We start from the raw sequence: 27,671 nt of genomic DNA on the forward strand, positions 1-27,671 counted from the left end.
GGCGCCCACCACCACGCCCGGCTATTTTTTTTTGTATTTTTTAGTAGTGACGGGGTTTCACCGTGTTAGCCAGGATGCTCTCAATCACCTGACCTCGTGATCCGCCCACCTTAGGCTCCCAAATTGCTGGGATTACAGGCATGAGCCACTGCACCCTGCCAAAGCTCTCATTTTATACATGGATATTCATGAGTCATGGATGAGACTTAGCTCTGTTAAATCCAACTAACATACTTGAGACTCAGAATTCTGGTGAGGGCTTCCTGCCACAAATCTGGGAAAGGATAATATGGGACATTCCACGATCTAAGAAAAGGGTCCTCAGCATACAGATCTGGTAGCAATGAAAAAAGGAAACTCGTCTCTTTCTGCAACATTATTTGAACTGAACCCCGAGGGCCTAAAGGATAATTTATCATGAAGGTCTTAGCTAAGTCTAGGCTGAGACAAAAGCGTAACAGGCGGGGTTTCACCATGTTGGTCAGGCTGGTCTCGAACTTCTGGCCTCGTGATCTGCCCTCCTCGGCCTCCCAAAGTGCTGGGATTACAGGCATGAGCCACCGAGCCCGGCCAACATGAAGTTCTTAAGGATGGAAGGAACCTGAGCGACAGTAGAATATGTCTGCTGTACAATAGGTATTCAGCTTATGTTTGATGAATAAATTGAGAAAATGGATAAACACAGTTGGGAAGTGCAATATTTTTAAAGAAAACTCCTGTAAAGTAGACGAACACTTTTGCAATAGTAATAATCATTTATATTTGATCCCATCTCATTAAGAGGCCTGGGCCCCTGACCCCTCTGACGTTTCCCCATCCCGGGTGCCGTGGGGCCTGTGGGCACCAGAAAGCCAGTGTCCCTGACAGGACGGCGCGCCCGCATCCTTCACCTGGCCATTACCTCTTCTTCCTATCCCTCTTGTCCACGCCAGTGTCTCCAGGAGCCAAGACGTGCTCCACCCCAGGGACGTCGCCCGACCGGGCAGCTCTGTGGAGCTCGCCAAGATCTTCCAGGCGGACATCGTGCTGGAGCTGGTCTAAGGCGCCCTCACCGTGCTTGCTCTCGCTGCCGACGCTGTTCTTCCACCAGCTGTAGGAGAAGCCCAAGGACCACTGGTCCCCCGGGTAGTCCAAGTACCACTGGTCCTCCTGGCTCCCAACACTAGGGGTCTTCCTCGTGGCGTAGACTGCCGGCTTCGGAGACCCCCCAGCCCCTCCCCGCTTTTCTCCACCCCAGGAGGCCATCAGTAGCGAGCTACTGCCTCGGCCACAACCTCCCAGCAGGATAGCCCGCGGTTTCCAATCTGCGAAAGGAGGACCGCTAAGCCAGAAATGCCAAGCCAAGCGATCACTGCCACGCCAAGCAGCCACCGCAAAGCCTCGCGGGTAAGGCCAAGCCACGCGGGTAAGGCCAAGCCAATCCGTTACACACCAGTGCGCCTGCGCACCTTTGACGTCACTGAACCTGTGCCTTCACTGCATCTGCAGCTCCAGCCTCCCAGAAAAAGACTCCTTGGTCTGCAGGTGGTGCTGCAGCTCCAGTGCCAACCTGGGCCGGCTGGTCCTCCCTCGGAGGTTTGGGGGTGGCGGCGCCCAGCCTGCCTGTCATGAGTGCTGCTTCACAGCGCCGCCGGTGCACCTGCTCCTAGGCTTGCTCGGTTCAGGGGTATGGGCCAGTTCCGCCCCCGGCTTGGCCACTGCAGCGAAGTTGCCCTAGGGTCGGCGCTGCCAGGACGCAAGCGGAGTCTGATGGCTGGGTCAGAGCGGCCTGTCAGCCCGGCTGGAAGGGCCTGCCCAACGCCGCTGCCCGCCCAGCTCCTACTTGGCCTGCGCCCGGAGCCAGGGACCAGCTTTGGGCATTCTGCTGCCTTAGGATGGGGCCGAGCAGCCGCTCCCCGCCCTGTGCCGCAGCCGCTGCGCGCATTTGCCCAGGGTCCGTGCAGCTGGCGACCCGGGCGGGTCGGGGAATGCCTGGTGCCACCGGGATTGCTCGCCTCTAGTCCGTCCTGACCCTTCAGCCCGCGAGCACCAGTGAGTTTGAAGAAAAGTGACGGCTGGGCGCGGTGGCTCACATCTGTAATCCCAGCACTTTGGGAGGTTGAGGTGGGCAGATCACTTGAGGTCAGGAGTTTGAGGCCAGCCTGGCCAACATGGTGAAACCCTGTCTCTACTAAAAATACAAAAATTAGTTGGGCGTGGTGGCGCACACCTGTAGTCCCAGCTACTCCAGAGGCTGAGACAGGAGAATCGCTTGAACCCGGGAGGTGGACGTTGCAGTGAGCTGATATCGTGCCACCAAACTCCAGCCTGGGCGACAGAGCAAGACTCCGTCTTAAAAAAAGAAAAAGAAGGAGAGAACGAAGGACAGAGAAGGAAAGAAGGAAGGAAGAAAGGAAGGAAGGAAGCGTGACAAAGGAGAAGCTAGAGAGCACTCAAATACTAATTCTTGAGGACAATTAAGACAGATCGCATTATGAAAAACAGATTTTGTCACTGAAGGCTCAGGGCTTCAGCCTAGATCCTGCGCTGCTCACCCACAGAAAGCCAATCACTGAGATGAGTATTGCAAAGGAAGAAGGCTTTAATCAGATGCTGCAGCCGAGGAGATGGGAGCTCAGTCTCAAATCCGTCTCTCTGACCAACTAAAATTAGGGATTTTTAGTATAGCAAAGAAGAAATGTAACTATGTATAAGAAAACATGAACTAGGAAGTGGTAAGGAAGCAATCATTTACAAAAGTATCTGCGGCCGGGCCCAGTGGCTCCCACCTGTAATCCCAGCACTTTGGGAGGCAGAGGCGGGTAGATCATGAGGTCAAGAGATCAAGACCATCCTGGCTAACATGGTGACCCCTTGTTCTCTACTAAAAATACAAAAATTAGTTGGGCGTGGTGGCACGTGCCTGTAGTCCCAGCTACTCGGGAGGCTGAGACAAAAGAATCGCTTGAACCCGGGAGGCGGAGGTTGCAGTGAGTCAAGATCGTGCCACTGTACTCCAGCCTGGCGACAGGGCTAGACTCCATCTCAAAAAAAAAAAAAACAGAAAAAGAAAAAAAGTATCTTCACCCTGCCTCCTCAATCTTGGCATAATTCCCCCTGCGAGTGGTTTCTGGGGTCTCAGTTGGCATTTAGTCACACATTGCACATATCGTGTGCACAACTGCACAGCTCAGCAGTGTCCTGGGTAGGCCTTGAAGGGTGATCTTCACGTAAGCCTGTGGCCAGAGCAAGAAAGCTGCACACGGGCAGCGGAGGAACCAGCAGGAGCCCAGTCCACTGGAAAATTCCAGCACCACCCGCAAGAGCAGCTGCAGTGGAGACTGTGACCTGACAAGGATATATGCATGAAGATGCTGGTCTGAAAACAGACTCAGTTTAAGGGTGGCACTTTGAAAAATATTGATAAATGTCAGTGAGAAAAAAATAATTAGAAACAAAATGTATTTATTAGAAATATTAGTCATTTATCATACACTTTCCTATGAATAGTTAAATACATATAATTAGCATGTCATGTCCAAAAGTGCTGGGTACAATCTAGTGTGCTCTTTATAGACATGAGGCCACAGATGTATCAATTACACTCAACTAATGTAGTTAAAGTTAGTGTGCTAAAAAAAAATTAGTGTGCTACTCAGGATGTTACAGATTTAGCAAAACTCTAACCTGGATCAGAGGAATGAAATGCCCCGTGAATTGAGGCAACTGTAGAGACTCAAAATGCTTCTAAAAAGGCTGTGAGGTTGTCCTTTACTGCATGTCATTGGTAGGACATCTCAAAATGGCACTCGAGCTTTGGAAGAATGAGAACTATTGCTGGATTTGACAGTGGGTCTGCATCTATGGGCCCGAGTCCTCCATCTCCACAAGCCGCCCCTCAGTGGGGAAGAGGAGGGGGAGACTAAGGGAGTCCCCGTAATGTTCGTGGGCAGCAGGGAAGAGAACATGGCAGAGATTCCTCACCGCTGGAGGGCTTGTCCCCTGGGTATGTGTGTTTTTGTTTAATACCGACTGGCATCTACTTGGGTTGGTCTCTACAAAAGCTGTAAAAAAACAAATGAATGAAAAAGGAAAACAGACTAATATTGTTTTTGAAGTGAAAGGGGCTAGGACAAGAGAAATTCCTGAGAATGTTATCCCTGCGGGGGGCGGGGGGGAGGGGGATGGGCTACCATCAGAGAAGGAAAATTCAATCCCTTTTCAGTGCAGAGAACAGCGACTTCTCATCTTGAAAAACTCCCCCACTCTACTGAGGCTTGCATTTTGCAGCTGTCTTTCATGTAAAAATTATACATAAAAAAAGGATCTTCAGAACAACCAAAGAATTTTAAATGACTACATACTGACTGAGGGAAGATGGAAAGAAACGTGGCTGTTGTGGCCTCTGAAAGCCTCAGGACAGAAACTGGGAATGGCACACTCTGCTGAGTATAGAAAATGTAAGATGCTGACCTTGTTTTCCCAGTTTACCAACTTTCCACCTTCACCTGGTGCTCTGAGTTCTGTTAAAAACAGACCTAAAAACCCTACCTCTTGGCCTAGCTGGGGTGAGGACTGCCTCCCCCAGGTCCTGCACCTCCACACGCCAGCGGATGGCTTGGGGGAGGCTACTAGCTGCTGTGCTAGAAGGCCTATTCCTGCATCCCTGAGGCCATCAGTCACAATTCCAGGACCCCAGCAGAACCTTCCCTTCCCTGAAACACCGCCTGTATTTCTTTGTGTGTGTGTGACAGAGGCAGAGGTTGCAGTGAGCCAAGATTATACCACTCCAGCCTGGGCGACGGAGTGAGACGCTCTCTCAAAAAAAAAAATAAATTTTTTTTTTTGTGGAGTCAGAGGTCTTGCCATGTTGCCCAGGCTGGTCCCGAACTCCTGGGCTCAAGCAATCCTCCCATCTCAGCCTCCCAAAGTGCTGGGATTACAGGCATAAGCCACCATGCCTGACCACCATGTGTACTTCTAGGGATAGGACATAGCATTTCTCTTCTGTATGCACACCCACTGGCAAAAAAAAAATGGTAGTCAGGGAAACTCCTTGAGTTATAGAAATAAATTGCACATGGCCTTTCATGTTTCTTTCCTTCTTTTTAACCTAAAGAGCAGGATACAGAGAAAAATGGAGAGTTTGGCCACAGTCATTGGCAACTTGGGCTCCCATTGGAGAGGGGCTGGTATGGCCCCAGCATGGAGGGAGGGAAATTGCAACACCATTGCCCAGAGATGGTACTAGATGGTTTGCACATAATTACTAAGAACAGAGCCAATCACAGGCCAGGTGTGGTGGCTCACCCCTGAGTAAGCTGAAATCGCGCCACTGGCACTCCAGCCTGGGCAGCAAAGCAAAACTCTGTCTCAAAAAACAAAAAAAAAACAGCCGGGCTCGGTGGCTCATGCCCATAATCCCAGCACTTTGGGAGGCCGAGGCAGGTGGATTATCTGAGGTCAGGAGTTCGAGACCAGCAGGAGCAACATGATGAAACCTTCTCTCTACTAAAAATACAAAAAAAAATAGCCAGATGTGGTGGTGGGCGCCTGTAATTCCAGCTACTTGGGAGGCTGAGGCACCAGAATCGCTTAAACAAAGGAGGCGGAGGTTGCAGTGAGCTGAGACGGCACCATTCCACTCCGGCCTGGGCAATAAGAATGAAACTCCGTCTCAAAATAAATAAGTAAAAATAAAAACAAAAAACAGAACCAATGACAGAAAACACTCCCACTCCCCCCGTAAAATCAGGAACAAGGCAAGGATTCCCTTTGTCATTTGTCCTATTTAAAACTGTACTGGACTGTAATCCCAGCACTTTGGGAGGCCGAGGGAGGTGGATCACCTGAGGTCAGGAGTTCAAGACCGGCCTGGCAAACATGTTGAAACTCCGTTTCTACTAAAAGTACAAAAAAAATTAGCCAAGCGTGGTAGCAGGTATCTGTAATCCCAGTTACTCAGGAGGCTGAGGCAGGAGAATCACTTGAACCCAGGAGGCGGAGGTTGCAGTGAACCGAGACCACGCCATTGCACTCCAGTCTGGGTGACAGAGCAAGACTCTCAAAACCAAAAACAACAACAAAAAACGGTGTTGGAAGTTCTAGCTAGTGCAAAAGGCATGGAAAAGAAATAAATGACATAAAACAAATGTAATTCCAGCACTTTGAGAGGCTGAGGCAGGTGGATTGTTTGAGGTCAAGAGTTCAAGACCAGCCTGGGTAACATGACAAAACCCCATCGCTACCAAAAACACAAAAACCAGCCAGGTGTGGTGGCATATGCCCGCAATCCCAGATACTTGGGAGGCTGAGGCACGAGAATCACTTGAACCCAGAAGGCAGAGGTTGCAATGAGATCACGCCATAGCCTGGGATGACAGAGTAAGACCTGTCTCAAAAACCAAACCAAACCAAACCAAAAAAATGTATTACTTGTATGATAAGGAAAAGAATCAAATGCATGTACATGGGTGGGTTTGTTTTGTTTTTTTGTGACAGGGTCTCACTCTGTCGCCCAGGCTAGAGTGCAGTGGTACTCTTGGCTCACTGCAACCTCGACCTCCCCAGCTCAAGTCATCCTCCCACCTCAGTGTCCTGAGTAACTAGACTACAGGCATGCACCACTACACCTGGCTAATTTTTTATTTTTTTCTAGAAACAGAGTCTCACCATGTTATCCAGGCTGGTCTCAAACTTCTCAGCTAAAGTAGTCACCTCATTTGGGCCTCCTAAATTGCTGGGTTACAGATGTGAACCACTGAGCCGAGTCTCAAATTTTTTTTTTTTTTTTGAGATGGAGTCTTGGAGTCTCATATCATTGCTCAGGCTGGAGTGCAGTGGCGTGATCTCAGCTCACTGCAACTTCAGCCTCCCAGGTCAAGTGATTCTCCTGCCTCAGCTTCCCGAGTAGCTGGGACCACAGGCGCACACCACCATGCCTGGCCAATTTTTGTACTCTTTAATAGAGATGGGGTTTCACCATACTGTCCAGGCTGGTCTTGAACTCCTGACCCCGTGATCCACCCACCTCAGCCTCCCAAAGTGCTGGGACTACAGGCATGAGCCACTGCGCCCAGCCTCAAATATGTTTTAATATACATTATATTTACTTCATGGAAATTGTTATGTCATTAAACCACTTACATAAACCATTAATTTCTAGTAAACTTAGCTTATTTGGTCATAATAGCCATGGGACATGAACATTTAAGATACTCGCCCACTGAATGTCCATCCCCTGGGTCAGCCTCTCCAGTGCCACGAAGTCCTCTTTGTTGATCACCTCTTTCCCTGCACTTGTCTTCCATCCATTTTTCTTCCAACCTTGAACCCAGTTACACCATTTATCGTAAACATACTGTCTGTATACAGAACCAGTTTATTGATGTTTTGAGTCTTTGCTTGTTCAATGGCCTTGTAGGCTGCATGAATTTCCGCTCTTTGGTTTGTCTGCCACCCAGGAAGTCTAATGCCTACATTTAAAGGATAGCCCGGCCCCCAGTAAACGCGGATTCCTGCTCGTGGCCTTCTACGCCCATTACTGGAGCAGCAGCCATCAGCGTAGACGACGACGAAGTCTCCCATGTAGGAAAACGTGTCTCTGCTAACTGGAGGCGCCGGCTTCACCCTCGGCTTCATGTGCTTGCATATGGCTCTGCGCTTTCATCTCCATCTCCATCCAGTGGCTCACGGAGTCGCTTGCTGGCTTTCGTCTCTGATTCTTGTCCATGTTGATTTTCCTGCCCTTCTGAAACTTCCGGGCTTGCAGATTTCCTGACAAAGTCCCAGGTCTCATCCTCTGTGGCAAACTTCTTAAATCTGGCAGCAGGAAACCGGTCCACCTGTGCTTTGCACTCATTCCCGGTCAGAAAGACCCCGGTCTTGCCGCCCCTCCTCACGGCATAGAACATCCCGAACCCGTGAGAGCAGCGGCAGGGCAAGGCGGCCAAGGCGACTCTGCGGCCAGGAACAGAAGCCGGCTCATCGCTCACTCCCGGCACCAGGAAGCATTTCGACTCCCAAGGAACCACTAATTTTACAAAGAGAGTTGTCCTAAACTGTGACAAATTTTCCAGTACTTAATTCTTTTTACAATTCATTCGTTTTTTAAATGACAAAATTGTATATATGTTGTGTAAAACCTTTTTAGAAATAGGTAGATGGTGGAATGATTGCATTGCGCTCAGGAACATATGCATACTTACTTTTTGTGGTGAGAACCCTTCTTGATTTTCAAGAATACGATACATTAACTGCAGTTACCATGTTGTGCAATGTATCTCTTAAACTTATTCCTCCTGTCTAACTACACTTTTGAATGATTTCACCGTCTCCCCAAACCCCTGCCTCCCACCCCCGGTAACCTCCATTCTACTCTCTGCTTCTGTGAGTAGAAGCAGGAGGCTGGAGAATTGCTTGAACTCAGGAGGCAGAGGTTGCAGTGAGCTGAGATCGAGCCGCTGCACTCCAGCCTGTGTGACAGAGCAAGACTCTCAAAAAAACAAACAAACAAACAAAAAAAACAGAGAATCCAGAGGTCAGACATTCCTTTTAGTAAGGACTCCAATATGGTTTCTCACCTACTCACTCCAACAAAATTGCTCTTCTCAAAGCACAAACGATATTGTTAAATTATGAATTAAAGCATAATTCCTCAGCCTTTGTCTTAATTTATGTATCAGCAGCATTTGACACAGGTGATCTCTCCTTTTTGCAAAACTTTCTTTGATAGAATTCCAGAACACTTAACCCACTTTCCCCCCGACATTTTTGATAATTACCCCTAGTCCTTTTTTGCTGTTTTTTTCTCACCTTTACTACTTTTTAAATGTTAGAGAAGCACTAGGCTCAGGACCTGGACTTATCTTTCTTTTATTTACTTTCTTACTAATTTTTGTGTCATTAATTTCCTGATATTTCATATTATACCTCAACACTAGACTACACCCAGCACCGTCTGACTTCTTCACTTGGGTGTCAGCCAAGAATTTCAAAATGAAGTTCCACATGGAGCCTCCAATACTCCCCAGACTTGCCCTTCCCCTATCTGTTTAATGGCAACTCCCATTTTATAGTTTCTCAGCTCAATATTCTTGATATCCCCTTTTAGTTCTCTCTGTATCTGTCTGGTTCTCATTCTCTATCTCTCCATCACACACACACACACACACACACACACACACACACTTTCAGATCTGTTGTGTATGGAAAACCTGCCAGCTTTGCCTTTAAAGTGCAGTAATTCCAAATGGTGTTTTCAAATTCACCTTCCCACCCTCACCACTTGGTAACTACACTACTTCCCTCACACGGTCAGGGCTCTACTGCAGACATTTCTTGGAGGAAATAATGAGAACTATTATAAATTCTTATTTCAGGCACCCTCAAAATTATAGGCTAGCCATATTCTATATGAATTTAAGCTTTTATCATTGCCCTTTTTTTCATTCCAGTCTCTACACAGCAACCACAGTATGCAATTTTTTAGAATTCCAAGCCGCATCATAACACTTTTTTTTTTGAGACGGCGTTTGGTTCTTGTTACCCAGGCTGGAGTGCAGTGGCGCAATCTGGGCTCACCGCAACCTCCGCATCCCAGGTTCAAGCAATTCTGCCTCAGCCTCCCGAGTGGCTGGATTATAGGCATGCGCCACCACACCCGGCTAATTTTTTGTATTTTTAGAAGAGACGGGGTTTCTCCATGTTGGCCAGACTGGTCTCGAACTCCCAACTTCAGGTGATCCACCTGCTTCAGCCTCTCAAAAGTGCTGGGATTACAGGCGTGAGCCACCGTGCCCGGCCAACGCTCCTGTTTTAAAGTACCTGCGCTATTACTTCTTTTCTCCCTCATTAGAATTTAAGCTTAACAAACCTGGGTAACTTTATATACTTTTCCACTGATCTGTCTCCATGAGCTGGAGATCACTTAGTGTAAGGTAAATGATCAATAAATGTTTTCAAATAACAGAATCAATTATTAATAGTTTTCTTTCTTTGAGTATACATTTAGACTTTCAAAAATCAAGAAAATAGATTGGTCAAGAGATTTCCATTTGTTTTGATTTTGTTATCCTTTGATTAGATTAGCTGTGTTAGTATAGATTTCAGTGTGGGAAGCTATAAGCATTTCCTAAATTTTAAAATGAAAGGCATGGGATTTGAATATCCATTCCTTTTATTTAAGGAATAAAGACAAGCCTAGCTTTTAAAATATATTTTATATATGTAAACTATCTAAATTTATTTTTCTCTTTATCCCTGAATACTTTTTCAAGTTATTCATCTCATTTTAAAAAATCTACCTCGATAACATTTTAAAATACATATGCAACTTCATTAAGAATATCTTTGTTCCACTGAATAGCTTGTCAAATAATACATTAGCAGTACAATTTCCTCATAATTCTTAGACTTGTTTGATTAAATTTATAGATTTCCTACTCTCAACTAATAAATTCATTCAAGTATAATACATCCTACTTGATCTTTGTGGGGTTTTCATACCATATAGTTATTATAAAAATTGATTTTTGATATTTGAATCAACTTCATAATTGTATTGGTTAGATTGGTCGGTAGAATCCTTTTTTGTTTTGGTTCTGTTGTTTGTTCATTACAGAGTGGCTTTGCTACTGTAAAGCTTGAAGCATTTTCTTTTTTGTTTTATTTCCTTCCTTTTTTCTTCCTTCTTTCTCTCTCTCCCTCCCTCCGCTCCCTCCCTCCCTTTCTTCCTTCCCTCGTTCCTTCCTTCCTTTTTCTTTATTTCTCTCACTCTCTTTCTCTCTTTCTCTCTCTCTCTCTCTCTCTCTCTCTCTCTCTCTCTCTCTCTTTCTTCAGGTTTTGCTCTGTTGCCCAGGCTGGAGTGCAGTGGTGTTAACAAGACTCACTTAAATTTTTTTTAACAGAAATTTATCTATCTTACATTAACCAAATTTCAGTGTAACCGATATTTCTTTCAAGTGAAAAATTAAATCTTTACCATCTGTTAGCCTCAACACTTTACCTTCTGCAGCCTCAGTTTTTCTGTCTCCAGCAATCCTCCCATCTCAGCCTCTTAAGTAACTGGGACTACAGGTAGTGCCACCATGCCTGGCCAATTTTTGTAATTTTTTGTAGAGATGGGGCTCACCATGTTGCCCAGGCTGGTCTCGAATGCCTGGACTTAAGTGATCCTCCCACCTCGGCCTCCCAAAGTGCTGGGATTATAGGCATGAGCCACCATGCCCAGCCAAAAGGTTGGAACATTTTCTAAATTGGAAAACAAAGCGCATGGCATTTAAATACTTATTCCTTAAAATTTGGAAGACATGTTAACACCATATAAACCCAGAGCCTGTATTTTTAGATTAGTAATATGTAGATATTTTCAATTTCTTCTAAAGTTTAAAAAAAAATTTTGTATTCAGAAAATTCTTTATAACAGAAGGTAAACATTTTTCACTTAAAAGAAATGTGATTACTTTGAAAACAAATTTGGTTAATGTAAGTTAGATTAATTTTTGTTTAAAAAATAATTTAAGAAAAATAATGCTCAAAGAGCAGTGGTCATGGCATTTATTCCAGAGAGAGGAAGTTTAGCCTGATCTGCCTGTAACAACAAAAGTACATGGATCAAGATAATTCTATAGGGACATGGATTAAAAGATAACATACTTTTTTATTTTAAAAACCATGATAACTTTTTGTTACGTGTATTAAATGTGAGAGAACAAACAGCATAAAAAATGAACTTTTGGGGGGATATAAACAAGTACTGAGAACAGTGTGAAGAATAAAATTCTCATCCTGGCTTGGTGTGGGCAGAACCTCACAGCCCGAGAACAAGTCCAGTGTGTGGTGGTGTTAAGGCCCCTCTGTGTAAAAGCTGTCCTCATTTACCGAGAATTGAGGTCTCAGGAAAAAAAAAAAAATTACTAACCTCAACACGAAATGATTGGTTCATCATTTGATATACCCTGTGCCTTTATAACATATACAATTGTGTTGTCATTCTATCAGGTTTATCATTTGTTACATTTAAAACCAGAATAATTTCAAATTTGAAGTGAAATAAGTCCCTTAGAGAAACAAATTTCAAAATACACCCCCTACCTATCCATATCTATATCATCTATATCTGTGTTAGACCATTTTTATATTGCAAAAAGCAAAAACATCCTTCTAGGCCTTCTAAATTTTATAGGATAACACAAACATTGATGCAATGGTGATAGACAAAGATGGATGTTAATATTATTTGGAAACATTTTCATTTATAGTATTGTGAGCAAACCATCAAGGGGTTGGTGGTCTTAGGCATTATTTCCCACTAGGGTCTATACCTTTGCATGTGAAAAGCAGGTACTAGAGGAAGAGTGAAGAAAGAGCACTCATTGTTCCCAGAGAATTGGACTAGAGAAATATGAAGTCGCCTAGAGAATGATTGTGCACGCGGCGCTTTTCCCTGGGAAAGCCATCTCATCATTTCTGTTGTATATTTTACTACAATGGTAAATTATTGGTTTGAGTTTAGATGTGTTCATTAAATATGGGTTAATGTTATGGTACCGTAATGTTAGGACGATACACAGAACCTGTAGGAATGTATCAGTCACATAACCAAGGAGAAAGAGAAGACAACGGTGGGTATCTTGCATTGTGATGTGATATTGAATTGACGGATTAAGACAGCCAATGTGAGCTACCCACATGCAGCAACTGAAATTTCCAAAATAGATAATTACGATGTGCTAAGATCAATTCATATGAAACACACATATTTGACGTGAACATTTTAATTTTGCATATCTGGTGCGTATGGGCTTTTTGTTTTGTTTTGTTTTGTTTTTGTTTTGAGACGCAGTCTTGCTCTGTTGCCCAGGCTGGAGTGCAGTGGTGCAATCTCGGCTCACTGCAACCTCCGCCTCCCGGGGTCAAGCAATTCTCCTGCCTCAGCCTCCCGAGTAGCTGGGGTTACAGGAGCCTGTCACCACGCCAGGCTAATTTTTGTATTTTTAGTAGAGACGGGGTTTCACCATGTTAGCCAGGCTGGTCTCCAACTCCTGATCTCAGGTGGTCCGCCCACCTCGGCCTCCCAAAGTGCTGGGAGAGTATTTGTTTAAGCCGGCCTTGGGTCGCAGAGCGCTGCCTCTGAACTGGGGTTGCCCGTTCCTAGGGAACGCGGCACGCCCTCTTTGCAGGGGAGCCGCCAGCCCTCACGGTGTGGGAAAGAAGGCTGCTTATCTCCAGTGTGATCTGAAAAATTAGGGATGGGCCTGCGCGGTGGCTCACGTCTGTAATCCCAGCACTTTGGGAGGCCGGGGCCGGCAGATCACGAGGTCAGGAGTTAGTGACCAGTCTGGCCAACATGGTGAAACCCCGTCTCCACTAAAAATACAAAAATTAGCTGGGCATGGTGTTGAATGCCTGTAATCCCACCTACTCGGGAGGCTGAGACACGAGAATCGCTTGAACCCAGGAGACGGAGGTTGCAGTGAACCGAGATCATGCCTCTGCACTCCAGCCTGGGCAACAAAGCAAGACCTTGTCTCAAAAAAACAAAAATTACGCATGCCTGTTTTACTTGTTTTCCAGACTTGTCTCTGGCTTGATCAGGGCATATAACTATGTATTTTTTGTATCTGTGTAACAAAAAATATGTTGGTTTTTAAAAATAAAAACATAAAAGGAGCCTCCAGCCCGCAGCGGCTGGAGCCGGAGGGTGCGCTTGAACAGGCCAGGGAGCCACGAGGCGGCGCAGGACCTGAGCCCAGAGAAACGACCTGGAAAGGAAGCTTCTCACAGAATGCGGCGCGGACAGCGGCTGCCGAGCAGGGGATCTGGAAAGCACTGGCCCCTGAGCCCCAGCGCAGCGCAGGGTGTCGCAGGGGTTAGCCCGGGTGGCGGGAAGAGCCCAGGGAGCAAGGCCCCCCCCCACGCGCAGGCGCGCTGCGCTCCCCCGCGCTGTGACATCATTGATGACCCCGCGCAGAGGCCTCCTCAATGCAGGCGCCTCCCTCTCAGCGCTAGAGCCCAGGCCACTGCCAGGGAAGTGTCCCTACCAGGCGAGTGGCCCTGCCAGGCCCTCCTGCTGCTGCTCGCGGTCGCTCGCCAGGAAAATTTTATGTGGCATGTCCCCTAAAAGCGCTCGCATTTCAGGGTAAAATGTTTTAATTATGTTGCAGCCCTTTAAAACAATCGCTGATCATTATTGATTTCCTCAGGTATTTATTGTCACAATATTAATCATGATGACCTCGCTCGGTATTAATATGCATGTCCCAACTAGTTCTTGCAGTGATTAATTGCACAATTATTTTAAGGGTTACCAGTTTTCCTCATGTCTCCTACGTGGCAGGAGTTTGGGTTGCATTTTTGCAGATACAGGGTGCAGCAGGTACACTTGTCCTCTACCTTCGGGGTCAAAATCAGTCCTGTGTTTAAATCTCACAGGCTACTTGAGCTCCTTGCTCTCCGTTTTCATTCGTAGTCTCAATATGCCAACTTTATTAATCTTTTAAAGATTACTCATCCAATACAGGTGACTGTACATTAAATATGGATGGAAGTTGGCCTGTGAGGAAATACATTATTTTTTAAAAGGCAACCAACAAGTACTAGTTCTTAACTAAAAAGTGGGGGCAAGCTGAGAAACTAAAGCAGAAAAGGAAATTTTACCAGTCCGAAATAGATCCATTCTCGGAATTCACAGAATTTTCATAACATCTGACTCTCAGGGGGCATGAAGTGCATAATCTTCCCTAGATTACAAAAAACATATAGATGACGGGTTTGCCTATGAAACTTCAGTACTACAAGAAACATAAAATATTTAAATATATGAGATTTAAATATATTTAAAATTATTAAAGTAATATAAACATTTTTTAGTGACTGTGTTATGTTTTTCTGGTTATTTTGTTTTCTACTAGTATATTTTTCTGTAAAAATTGTAAAACTATATCAGCAATTTCTAATGCCAAAAAAGTAAAAACTAGTGTGTATAAATGCACGCCATATCTCTTCCTTATGCTTTTATCTTTTGTCTCCCGATGACCCTAACCCAAACAATTACATACATGAGGAGGACAGTTTCTCCATGTTTAAGTATTATTCTTCAACTCTTGGTTATCTAATTACCAAAGTACACTTTACCATATATTCCAATTCGTCAAGGATGACAGCCCCTGCATTCAAATTTTGGATTTCTGTTTGCTTTACATTATATTAGTTGAAATTTTAACCTACTATCATATAGGTTAGGGAATGTCAGATAAACTTTAGTCAACAGATAACCACCATTATTTCAGCAGATCATTTCAACCTAATATATAGCAACGGCATAGAAATATTGCCTTTTTGTTAATATTTCCACATTTGATTTATTTTTAAATAAACTTTTAAAAATATTCCTAAAATGTGCAGTATTCAGAATAAATGTTTTAAATTAAATAAATTTTAAAGATATCAGAGACAATGTACTAGGAAAAGCATGAGGCTAGAGAGAGAGAACAATACACTGTAACGATGATGACAGAATAATATAAAATGAGACCCCTTTCTGCTCTAATCATATGAAAATAGCACAGATGGCCGGGCGCGGTGGCTCACGCCTGTAATCCCAGCACTTTGGGAGGCCGAGGCGGGTGGATCACGAGGTCAGGAGGTCGAGACCATCCTGGCTAGTGCGGTGAAACCCCGTCTCTACTAAAAATACAAAAAAAAAAATTAGCCGGGCTTGGTAGCGGGCACCTGTAGTCCCAGCTACTCCGGAGGTTGAGGCAGGAGAATGGCATGAACCCGGGAGGCGGAGCTTGCAGTGAGCCAAGATAGCGCCACTGCAGTCCAGCCTGGGCGAAAGAGCAAGACTCCATCTCAAAAAAAAAAAAAAAAAAGAAAAAGAAAATAGCACAGATATATAACACCAACCACATCAAAACATAGTCTCCCTGGTTTGCAAACTGTTCACTGAAATAAAATTTCTTTTCTCCAAATTCCTTTTCAGAGACCTATTGTTCACATTAGCAACTCTAGTTAAAGCAGTAGAACAATCCAAAAGATATTTTAAAAAATCATTTTCAAGTAAAGAGCAAATGGAGAGATAAAAAATAATGGTAAATGAGCAGTATAATATAAAAATAGACTAGAAAAAAGTTGTCAATTATTAGGACTATGAGAAAGAGTAATAGGTGATGTAACAGAAAAGTAAATGATATAAATCTGAAGATATACCTAAAATGGAAAAAATACACAAATTACTTCATAATGAGCACAGAGAAATAGATGGAAAACAGGAAATTATATTAAAGTAAATAAATGATAAAAAAAAGATCGAGGCCAGGCATGGTGGCTCACTCCTATAATCCCAGCATTTTGGGAGGCTGAGGCAGGTGGATCACTTGAGCTCAGGGTTGGAGACAAACCTAGGCAACAAGGCTGGACCCTATCTCTACCAAAAAATTAGCCAGGCATGGTGGCACCTGTGGTTCCAGCTACTCAGGAGGCTAAGGTGGGAGGATCACTTGAACCCAGAAGTTTGAGGCTGCAGTGAGTTGTGATCTCACCACTGCATGGCAGCCTGGGTGGCAGAGCAAGACCTTGTCTAAAAATAAAAATAAAGAAATAAAAAGATCCAATAAATGTCTGATGAATTTATCAATAGTAAAACACTACTAACAGAAACATCAAAGGAGAAATTATGGTAGGAAGGAAATTCATCTCAGGAAAGATCTGGAATGCAAAACGAAGTAATTAGTTAATACTAGTAAATGTATTAATATATCTAAGAGAATATTGGCTCTTAAAACAATTCAATACAAATTGGACCTAAAATTTTAAACAAAAGTAGTAAGGCAGATTCAAAGAAATATTTGGTTTTACCACATATTGGGGAAAAGATATTTATTAACGTTAGGTTTTGTTAAAGTATTTATGCACGCCAAAAATTTACAAACATTCTAAAAATGTAGAAAGGAAATATGTAAGTATAAAAAATGACAGAAATAGAATTCAAAAAATAAGCAAATAAAATATTTAATTGAAAAAGAACAGAATTGGGGAAAAGCAATTTAATAGAAATCATAGTAAACAAAACTAAAGAAAAGTCACAAAATAGCAACATAACATTTCAGTAACCATAATAATTGTAAACAGGCTATACAAACCAATTACTAAAAACAAAATTCTGAAATTACTTGAAAAATTAATATCCAGCTACAATTATTATGACACAAAAAGTGAATTACATACATTCTTTCACTTCAGAATAAACTGGAGTAATAGTAAACAGATTTACTTCACACCTTATAATCTAGAAAACTAGAAAATTACATGAAAACAGTTTTCATAAACATTGTAAAATAGGACTGTGCAGGACTGTGATCTATGACATAAAGGAAATAAGAAAGCTAAGTGTGAAAATATTACCAGTTTACTCCCTGGAAACTGTTTCCAGGCCGTGAAGCAGAGAATGGCAACCCGCAACATGGCCCACCAGTCTGGTAGCATTTGGAAGCCAGCAATGAGAATTCGGGAAAACACAAAATGTTAAATTAGGGGGAAAGTACTGGAGAAAAAGAATCTGCAAAAGAAAAAATATTTTAATAACAATGAGTACCACATAAAGTTAAGAGTTATAAAACCATTATTTCATTAACCTGATTTCAACAAATGTCTTTATACTGATAATTTTTCTAGTGTTATTTATAAAACTAATAAACCATTTGTTTCCATACAATCAATAGTTCCACTTTTTTTTTTTTTTTTTTTTTTTTTTTTTTGGAGACGGAGTCTCTTTCTGTCGCCCAGGCTGGAGAGCACTGGCACGAACTCAGCTCACTAACCTCTGCCTCCCGGGTTCAAGGGATTCTCCTGCCTCATCCTCCCAAGTAGCTGGGATTACAGGCGCATGCCACCATGCCCGGCTAATTTTTGTATTTTAGTAGAGACGAGGTTTCACCACGTTAGCCAGGCTGGTCTTGAACTCCTGACCTCAGGTGAGCCGCCTGCCTCGACCTCCCAAAGTGCTGGGATTCTAGGCGTGAGCCACTGCGACCGGCCTAGTTCCACTTTTAGTTTTGTCTGAGAAAATATATATTATACACATTTGGTTTTTCTAAATTTTGTATAAAGTTATGGGGCACAATTGTAATTTTGTTACATGGATATTTTGCTGCATGGGGTGAAGCCCGGGCTTTTTGAATATCCATCACTGGAATAACATGCATTGTACCCATTAGTAATTTTGCATCTTGCACCCCCAACCCTTCCAAGTCTCCATGTTTTCACACTCTACGTCCATGTGTACACATTATTTAGCTCCCACTTAAGAGAATTTGGGGTGTTTGTCTTTCTGTGTCTGAGTTGTTTCATTTAAGGTAACGGCCTCCAGTTCCATCCAAGTTGCTGCAATAAACATGATTTCATTTGAAAATACACATATATGTATACGTAGAATTTTTAAAATTATCTTTAAAATTTTTGCTTCTTTCTGGTTATTTCCTCAAGGTCATCCATATATCTCCTGCAGCTGAATCTCTCGATATGCCTCTGCGGCCCTCTGTACCCTAATCTAAATTTTTATTTTTATTTATTTATTTATTGAGACGGAGTCTCGCTCTGTGTCGCCTAGGCTGGAGTGCAGTGGCACAATCTCTGCTCACTGCAACCTCCGGCTCCTGGGCTCAAGCAATTCTCGTGCCTCGGCTTCCCAAGTACCTGTGACTGCAGGTGTGCGCTACCACAACATGGGGTCTCACCCATGTTGGCCAGACTGGTCTCGAACTCCTGACCTCAAGGGATCCACCCGACTCAGCTTCCCAAAGTGCTGGGATTACAGGCGTGAGCCACTGGCCCAACCCCACTCTAAATTTTTAAAATTATTGTTGAATAAGTAAAAGTAATATGTATCATCTTGTACTTTTTTAAAACTTCTTGAATAAAATGTAATAGTTTACATTTCATTGACAAATTTATCAGTCCAATTCTGCTTTACAATGCCATCCCTTGGGAACCACAGCTTATTCTCTCAAGAGAGTTGAAAATACGCATTTGGTTATAATTATTTAACATGAAAAATGTATCCATTCCAAGCCTAACCTGAGAGATACAGATAATATACATTCCTATAATTGAGCTCTAAAGTGCTTTTATTCTTAGGATAAATTTTAAAAACTAGAATCTGTGGAGACCCAAGATCACATGTAAAACCAATAAATATATATATTTTTGTAAAGTATGTAAAAATAGCATTGAAAAGAATAAAAATTAGGCAATTTGTGAGTGGAAGGAGAGATGGCAAAAGTCTTTTATTAACAAAATAATCATAGTTATGGAAGTTTTATTACATGCCGGCCACATTCTCAGTATGTTAAATGTATTGGCTTATTTAAAACTCACAAGAATCTCATGAGATATTAATATTTCCCCCATTTTAAAGATGAGGCTCAGAGAGATTAGAACTTGCCCAAGCTCATACAATGAGTGACCCTTGGAGCCCAGCAATGAACCGAGTCAGTGACATTACAGACTTCATGATAAAAATGTGACTCTTGGCCGGGCGCGGTGGCTCACGCCTGTAATCCCAGCACTTTGGGAGGCCGAGGAGGGCAGATCACGAGGTCAGGACATGGAGACCATCCTGGCTAACACGGTGAAACCCCGTCTCTACTAAAATACAAAAAATTAGCCGGGCGTGGTGGCAGGCATCTGTAGTCCCAGCAACTCGGGAGGCTGGGGCAGGAGAATGGCGTGAACCCGGGAGGTGGAGCTTGCAGTGAGCCGAGATTGTGCCACTGCACTCCAGCCTGGGCGACAGAGCAAGACTCCGTCTCAAAAAAAAAAAAATGTGACTCTTTCGAAAAAAAAAAGAGCAGATATTTGTTTCCACCAGTGATGATCTTCAAAATTGTTACTACCAGTTTTAGAATCTCTGGCACGATGAGAATAATCAGGCTTATATCCATAATGTATTTTAAAGGTGAATTTGTTTTGGAGTAGTTATAAATGAAGCTGAGAAATTGACAGTAAGCATAGGATTGGCAGAAAGCAAAATGACTATCTTACATATTGATGAATGGATGCATTGAAACATAATCTGCACAAAGAAAAATATTTCATTTTGAATAAACATGCCTATCTGCGTCGATTGAAACTTGGCCAGGTTTCTGTTCTCCTTTGTTTTGCATTATTTTCACTTGAATGGAAAAACATTGTTACTAAATTGGTTAAAATTATTACAGGAAGAATGTTGTTTCGAAGTATAAAGTAATTTATACAGAATTTCTATGTTACATTATCTGATTGAGACAGTTAAGCAAAACAAAGTCAAATTTCTTCTTCTTCTTCTTTTTTTTTTCTGAGACAGTCTTGCTCTGTGGCCCAGAACTGGAGTGCAATGGCATGATCTCGGCTTACTGCAACCTCTGCCTCCCAGGTTCAAATGATTCTCCTGCCTCAGCCTCCCGAGTAGCCAGGATTACAGGCACACGCCACCATGCCCAGCTAATTTTTGTATTTTTAGTAGAGACGGGGTTTCACTACGTTGGCCAGGCTGGTCTCAAACTCCTGACCTCGTGATCCGCCCGCCTTGGCCTCCCAAAGTGCTGGGATTACAGGCATGAGCCACCTCACCCAGCCAACAATGTTAAATTTCTTGGTTTTTTTTTTTTTTTTTTTTTTTTTTTGAGACAGGATTTCACTCTTGTTACCCAGGCTGGAGCCACCGTTCCCGGCCACAATGTTAAATTTCAATAGCTTCAAGTGTACTCATTAATTATCCTCTATGAAAAATGTTTATTCTGAAATAATTAAAATTCAAAAATAAATTGATTCAATATATATTTTAATTTTATTTCACAAGTTTTTGTTTTGTTTTGTTTTTGAGATGGAGTCTTTCTCTGTCTCCTAGGCTGGAGTGCAGTGGCCTGATCTCAACTCACTTCAACCTCTGCCTCCTGGGTTCAAGGGATTCTCCTACCTCAGCCACCTGAGTAGCTGGGATTACAGGTGCGTGCCACCACATCCGGCTAATTTTTGTATTTTTAGTAGAGACGGGGTTTCTCCATGTTGGCCAGGCTGGTCTCAAACTCCTGACCTCAGGTGATCCACATGCCTTAGACTCCCAGAGTGCTGGGATGACAGGCTCGAGCCACCGTGCCTGGCCATTTCACAAGTATTTTTATGTTAATAGTGGCAAGATTTTAAGTATATGTATTAAAACTATACCTACTGCCTATTATTATTTCATATGCATGCATTTTAAATAAATAGAAATATAGCAAGAAAAACATTTAAGAAATACTATGCTTTAAAAAATCTCAATACATTGTTTATGTTACTAATGTCTTTTAAGTTTTTGGTTTTTCTTTAAAAGATGAGGTATTTCAATGCTGCCCAGACTTGTCTCAAACTTCTGAGCTTAAGCCTCCCGAGTAGCTGGTATTACAGGTGTGCACCACCATGCCCAGTGTTGCCTGTTTCTTGACTATCAGGTAGGAAGCACATTAAATAGTTTTCACTCATTCACTCAGCAACCATCATAACTAAAATTTCCACAGGTAAGAATCTGAATTCTCACTAAATGAATACACTGGAATGTTTCACTTGTATTTATCATCTAGTTTGACAAACACCATAGTTATATTGCTAGACATACCCATTAAATTATCTTCCTTAAGGTATTAATATCCTGTTGTATCATTTAGGAAATACATTTTAGAAGTACAGTATGCCATTTTATCAAGATGTTCGGTTTCACTTTCATTTTATTCTGATTATAAGAGTTCATTGTTTTGCAGGTTTGTCTTACGCTGTATGTCATAGGTTGGCCAACTTTTTCTCTAAAGAGCTGCACAGTAAATGTTCTATGTGCTGCAGGTTATAGCATGCCTGCCTAAATTGATGTGGCCATGTCCCAATTTTTTGTTTCTTACTAAAACGGGCTCAGCCTAATTTGCGTATAATCTCATCTCTGCTTGCCTCACTGCCTATCACTCAACCCCTTAATGCTTCTGTCTTAAATGACCTTTCTTTTGCTTGGGCAGACTTTAATTCCTAGATTAGATCTGCTGTGCTTTCTTTGCCCTCTGACTGTAAATATCTATCCGTGTGTTGAAATGTCACCTCTTCCAGTGGCCTTTTCCAACCAGCTTCCTCTTGTAGTTGCATACACACCACACTCTACGTATTAATTAGAGAATTGTATGTCCAATTGCATGTCCTGATTTACAATGAAAAGCCCTGGTCTGGCTGGCTGTGGTGGCTCACACCTGTAATCCCAGCACTTTGGGAGGCCGAGGCGGGAAGATCAGGAGGTCAGGAAATTGAGACCACCCTGGCCAACATGGTGAAACCCCATCTCTACTAAAAATACAAAAATTAGCTGGGTGTGGTGGCATGCACCTACTACTCCCAGCTACTTAGGAGGCTGAGGTGGGAGAACTGCTTGAACCCGGGAAGCGGAGGTTGCAGTGAGCCGAGATTGCACCACTGCACTCCAGCCTGGGTGACAGTGCGAGACTCTGTCTCAAAAAAAAAAAAAAAAAAAAAAGAAAGAAAGGAAAAGTCCTGGTTTACATGGAACAGACCTCGTTTATTTCTGCTACCCATGTATCACATCTAGTAGAGTCTTTGTTCCAGATACTACATTGTTTAAACAAATACTGTTACTTGCAATACATAGGCTGGACAGGGTTTGATAGAGCTCTTCTTTTTTTATTATTATTATTATACTTTAAGTTCTAGGGTACATGTGCACAACGTGCAGGTTTGTTAGATATGCATACATGTGCCATGTTGGTGTGCTGCACCCATTAACTTGTCATTTACATTAGGTATATTTCCTAATGCTATCCCTCCCCCCTCCCCCCACCCCATGACAGGCCGCGGTGTGTGATATTCCCCTTCCTGTGTCCATGTGTTCTCATTGTGCAATTCCCACCTATGAGTGAGAACATGCGGTGTTTGGTTTTTTTGTCCTTGCGATAGTTTGCTGAGAATGATGGTTTCCAGCTCCATCCATGTCCCTACAAAGGACAGGAACTCATCCTTTTTTATGGCTGCATAGTATTCCATGGTGTATAGGTGCCACATTTTCTTAATCCAGTCTATCTATCATTGATGGACATTTGGGTTGGTTCCTAGTCTTTGCTATTGTGAATAGTGCCGCAATAAACATAGGTGTGCGTGTGTCTTTATAGCAGCATGATTGATAATCCTTTGGGTATATACCCAGTAATGGGATGGCTGGGTCAAATGGTATTTCTAGTTCTAGATCCTCGAGGAATTGCCACACTGTCTTCCACAATGGTTAAACTAGTTTACAGTCCCACCAACGGTGTAAAAGTGTTCCTATTTCTCCATATCCTCTCCAGCACCTGTTGTTTCCTGACTTTTTAATGATCGCCATTCTAAATGGTGTGAGATGGTATCTCATTATGGTTTTGATTTGCATTTCTCTGATGGCCAGTGATGATGAGCATTTTTTCATGTGTCTGTTGGCTGCATAAATGTCTCCTTTTGAGAAGTGTCTGTTCATATCCTTCGCCCACTTTTTGATGGGGTTGTTTGTTTTTTTATTGTAAATTTGATTGAGTTCTTTGTAGGTTCTGGATATTAGCCCTTTGTCAGATGAGTAGATTGCAAAAATTTTTTCCCATTCTGTAGGTTGCCTGTTCACTCTGATCATAGTTTCTTTTGCTGTGCAGAAGCTTTTTAGTTTAATTAGATCCCATTTGTCAATTTTGGCTTCTGTTGCCATTGCTTTTGGTGTTTTAGACATGAAGTCTTTGCCCATGCCTATGTCCTGAATGGTATTGACCAGGTTTTCTTCTAGGGTTTTTATGGTTTTAGGTATAACATTTAAGTCTTTAATCCATCTTGAATTAATTTTTGTCTAAGGTGTAAGGAAAGGATCCAGTTTCAGCTTTCTACATATGGCTAGCCAGTTTTCCTAGCGCCATTTATTAAATAGGGAATCCTTTCCCCATTTCTTGTTTTTGTCAGGTTTGTCAAAGATCAGATAGTTGTAGATGTGTGGTATTATTTCTGAGGGCTCTGTTCTGTTCCATTGGTCTACATCTCTGTTTTGGTACCAGTACCATGCTGTTTTGGTTACTGTAGCCTTGTAGAATAGTTTGAAGTCAGGTAGCGTGATGCCTCTAGGTTTGTTCTTTTGGCTTAGGATTACAGCCAATATCATACTAAATGAGCAAAAACTGGAAGCATTCCCTTTGAAAACTGGCACAAGACAGGGATGCCCTCTCTCACCACTCCTATTCAGCATAGTGTTGGAAGTTCTGGCCTGGGCAATCAGGCAGGAGAAAGAAATAAAGGGTATTCAATTAGGAAAGGAGGAAGTCAAATTGTCCCTGTTTGCAGATGACATGATTGTATATTTAGAAAACCCCATCGTCTCAGCCCAAAATCTCCTTAAGCTGATAAGCAACTTCAGCAAAGTCTCAGGATACAAAATCGATGTGCAAAAATCACAAGCATTCTTATACACCAATAACAGACAAACAGAGAGCAAAATCATGAATGAACTCCCATTCAAAATTGCTTCAAAGAGAATAAAATACCTAGGAATTCAACTTACAAGGAATGTGAAGGACCTCTTCAAGGAGAACTACAAACCACTGCTCAACAAAATAAAAGAGGACACAAACAAATGGAAGAACATTCCATGCTCATGGATAGGAAGGATCAATATCATGAAAATGGCCATACTGCCCAAGGTAATTTATAGATTCAATGCCATCCCCATCAAACTACCAATGACTTTCTTCACAGAATTGGAGAAAACTACTTTAAAGTTCGTAAGGAACCAAAAAAGAGCCCGCATTGCCAAGATAGAGCTCTTCTTTATACATCCTGCTTTTGCCATAGTTGCTTCTAATACCACGTGAGATGCACCTTCAGTGAACAGAGTTCTCCCTGAAAAAGATCATCAAATGTGAAAGACAACCAGTGATAACCCACCTCTCTTTTCCCAACTCTTTCCTTCTCCTTGAAAGTAAATGTAATGAACTTTCCTTTCAAGGACATAAGGCTGTGTGTCTTGACATAATAAATCATGTTTGGATGTGAAAGCTGGGGGCGGTTTTTTTTCAGGCTCCAGGGGTGTTGGGAAAAGTTTTAGAGGCTGCTGCCCCCATGCTGGCTTCTTGTTATGCCCATGTCATGCCATAAGAAGTACACAAAAGCATCAGACCTACAGGTGACACTGATAATACCAAATTCTGGCTATGATGTTGAATGGCAGAAAATCACATTCGTTGCTGGTGGAACAAAATCATAAAATCCAGCATTCACACTCCTTGATATCTACCCCAGTGAGCTGAAAATTTATGCACACAAAAACCACACTTAGATATTTAGAACAGCCTTATTCATAATTGTCAAAACATGGAAGCTGCCAAGATGTCCTTCAGTAGGTCCATAGAGAAATAAACTATGTTACATACAGACAATGGAATATTATCCAGTGCTAAAAATGAATGAGCTATCAAGCCGTGAAAAGATATGGAGGAGACTTAAATGCATATTACTAAGTGAAAAAAAGCCAATCTCCAGAGTTACGTAGTGTATGATTTCAACTATATGACATTCCAGAAAAGGCAAAATTATGGAGACAGTACAGTGGTTGCCAGGAGTTAGGGGTGGGGTTGGGGGGATGAATAGGCAGAACACAGAGGATTTTTAGGACAATGGAGCTATTCTTTAAGATAATATAATGGTGAATACATGTCGTTTTACATTTCTCCTAACACATAAAATGTACAACACCAAGAGTGAATCCTAATGTAACCTGTGGGCTTTGGTTGGTGACTATGTGTCCATGTAGGTTCATAGATTGTATGAACTGCTCTGGTGGTAGTGTACCACTCTGGTGTGAAATGTTGATAGTGGGAAGTGTTGTGTCTGTGTTGGGGCAGAAGGTCTATGGGGACTCTGTACTTTCTGCCCAATTTTGCTATGAATCTAAAATTGCTGTAAAATATAATGTATTAGAAAAACTTTATTGAGCACTAAAGCAAATGCAATATTTGCTGGCTCACCAACAGATGATTGGCTATGTTCTCTAATTTGATGTTATTCACTTCAACAGCTTTATTGCCTTTTAAATGTTTGAAGTTCACTCATAATTAGGAAGATAGAATAGCACAGCATTCATTTCAGGATAGACTGTGATTTCACTATATTTGGAGTTGTTGTGGATAGGGATGTTGTCTCTTTGCATTCCTAAGACCTAATGTAATGTCTCATACACAGCAGGCACTGGATTAGTTATTGTTGATTGAGAGAGAAAGACTTCTTTAAAAAAGCGTTTTTGTTAAGGAGTCTGGGAATCATGGAATCATAGTGACCAGTAACTGTTATGGACTGGATTGTATCCCCCTCCAATTCAGTTATGGTGCTGCTTCAGAAAGAAAAGAGGTGAGCTGTTTTTCAAAAGCATATATCTATTGGCTTTGAAAATGCCTATATCATCATGAATAGAATGTTGGTAAAATTATGAAAGCTGGAGGCTATTCTGGTGAGGTCTCATATGGAAATGAGATGCAGCTTATTAGAAACAGAAGGAAAAGTGATCGTTGTTATAAAGTGGCAAATAACTTGGATGTATCACGTTCTAATATTTTGTGAAAGGTAGAACTTGCAAGTGATGAAATTGTATATTTTGCTGAGGAGATTTCTAAGCAAAGTGATGAATGAGTGGCGTGGTTTCCCTTTACCACTTGTAGTAAAATGCAAAAGAGATACATTAAAATAATACTTAAACAAAAAGGAATCACAGGCCAGGTGCAGTGGTTCACTCCTGTAATGCCAGCACTTTGGGAGGCTGAGGAGGGCAGATCACTTGAGGTCAGGAGTTCGAGACCAGCTTAGTGAAAACCTACCTCTACTATTTTTGTAAAAATACAAAAAAATAGCTAGGCGTGATGTCATGCACCTGTAGTCCCAGCTACTGGGGAGGCTGAGGCATAAGAATCACTTGCATCTGGGAGGAGGAGGCTGCAGTGAGCCGAGATGGCACCACTACACTCCAGCCTGGGTGATGGAGCAAGACTCTGTCTCAAAAAAAAGAACCACAGCTTGAACATCTGGAAAATCCTCAGCCTACCTATATTGCAAAACATAAGACAAATGTTCAGCCGGGTGCAGTAGCTCACGCACATAATCCCAGCACTTTGGGAAGCTGAGGTGGGCGGATCACCTGAGGTTGGGAGTTCAAGACCAGCCTGACCAACATGGAGAAACCCCATCTCTCTACTAAATATACAAAATTAGCCGGGCTGGTGGTGCATGCCTGTAATCCCAGCTACTCGGGAGGCTGAGGCAGGAGAATCGCTTGAACCTGGGAGGCGGAGGTTGTGGTGAGCCAAGATTGAGCCATTGCACTCCAGCCTGGGCAACAAGAGTGAAACTCCGTCTCAAAAAGAAAAGAAAAGAAAAGAATGGAAAAGAGAAAAGAAAGCAAATGAGAAAAGAAAGGAAAAGAAAGAAAAGAAAAGAAACAAGTTCTGAACAGAAAACAAAAGTTGTGGCAGAACAGCCATATGGTGGAGATCATGGGAGTGACTCATGGATTTAATCAGCCATCTCAGGAAAAGCCAAGAATGGAGATGGATTATATCCACAGAGATAGAGCTAGTTTGAACTAAAGAGGAATTAAAAAGTGGGATGGCATAAAGGAAGACTGTCAAACTTCT

At 42.5% G+C, this 27,671-nt stretch overlaps 1 long non-coding RNA gene and 2 pseudogenes across 4 annotated transcripts in view, besides 5 other annotated features; 1 reads left to right on the forward strand and 2 right to left on the reverse strand.

Moving 5' to 3' along the window:
* The window catches only part of CCDC144NL (CCDC144A N-terminal like (pseudogene)), a 32,769-nt pseudogene extending 31,381 nt beyond the window's left edge, over positions 1-1,388 (reverse strand). The window contains exon 1 of the transcript NR_164128.1: positions 902-1,388. The product of NR_164128.1 is annotated as a CCDC144A N-terminal like (pseudogene) (transcript). The remainder of the gene's footprint in view (positions 1-901) is intronic.
* CCDC144NL-AS1 (CCDC144NL antisense RNA 1) overlaps positions 1-27,671 on the forward strand; it is a 61,515-nt gene that overhangs the window by 26,249 nt on the left and 7,595 nt on the right. Inside the window, exon 3 of one of the 3 annotated variants that reach the window (NR_104185.2) lies at positions 7,443-10,451. The exons of 1 other annotated variant lie outside the window; for it this stretch is intronic. This is a non-coding gene — a long non-coding RNA (CCDC144NL antisense RNA 1). Of the gene's footprint in view, positions 1-7,442; positions 10,452-26,252; positions 26,395-27,671 lie in introns of those variants that run through there. One more of the 3 variants, NR_160711.1, reaches the window with a different exon arrangement.
* Positions 1,273-1,788: an enhancer, noted in NCBI's record as "H3K27ac-H3K4me1 hESC enhancer chr17:20799361-20799876 (GRCh37/hg19 assembly coordinates)". NCBI's record gives its function as "activates a minimal SCP1, AML or CMV promoter by ChIP-STARR-seq in primed H9 embryonic stem cells {active_cell/tissue: H9 hESC(primed)}" and the evidence as "EXISTENCE:reporter gene assay evidence [ECO:0000049][PMID:30033119]".
* Positions 4,222-5,089: an enhancer, noted in NCBI's record as "H3K27ac hESC enhancer chr17:20802310-20803177 (GRCh37/hg19 assembly coordinates)". NCBI's record gives its function as "activates a minimal SCP1, AML or CMV promoter by ChIP-STARR-seq in naive H9 embryonic stem cells {active_cell/tissue: H9 hESC(naive)}" and the evidence as "EXISTENCE:reporter gene assay evidence [ECO:0000049][PMID:30033119]".
* On the reverse strand, positions 7,180-8,002 carry RNASEH1P1 (ribonuclease H1 pseudogene 1; annotated as a pseudogene).
* Positions 13,207-13,802: an enhancer, noted in NCBI's record as "H3K27ac-H3K4me1 hESC enhancer chr17:20811295-20811890 (GRCh37/hg19 assembly coordinates)". NCBI's record gives its function as "activates a minimal SCP1, AML or CMV promoter by ChIP-STARR-seq in naive H9 embryonic stem cells {active_cell/tissue: H9 hESC(naive)}" and the evidence as "EXISTENCE:reporter gene assay evidence [ECO:0000049][PMID:30033119]".
* Positions 13,623-13,672: an enhancer, noted in NCBI's record as "active region_11873". NCBI's record gives its function as "activates an Ori minimal core promoter by ATAC-STARR-seq in GM12878 lymphoblastoid cells {active_cell/tissue: GM12878}" and the evidence as "EXISTENCE:reporter gene assay evidence [ECO:0000049][PMID:35858748]".
* Positions 13,783-13,982: a silencer, noted in NCBI's record as "silent region_8310". NCBI's record gives its function as "represses an Ori minimal core promoter by ATAC-STARR-seq in GM12878 lymphoblastoid cells {active_cell/tissue: GM12878}" and the evidence as "EXISTENCE:reporter gene assay evidence [ECO:0000049][PMID:35858748]".

This window comes from Homo sapiens, chromosome 17 (assembly GCF_000001405.40).
Source record: "Homo sapiens chromosome 17, GRCh38.p14 Primary Assembly".
Taxonomy (NCBI): domain Eukaryota; kingdom Metazoa; phylum Chordata; class Mammalia; order Primates; family Hominidae; genus Homo; species Homo sapiens.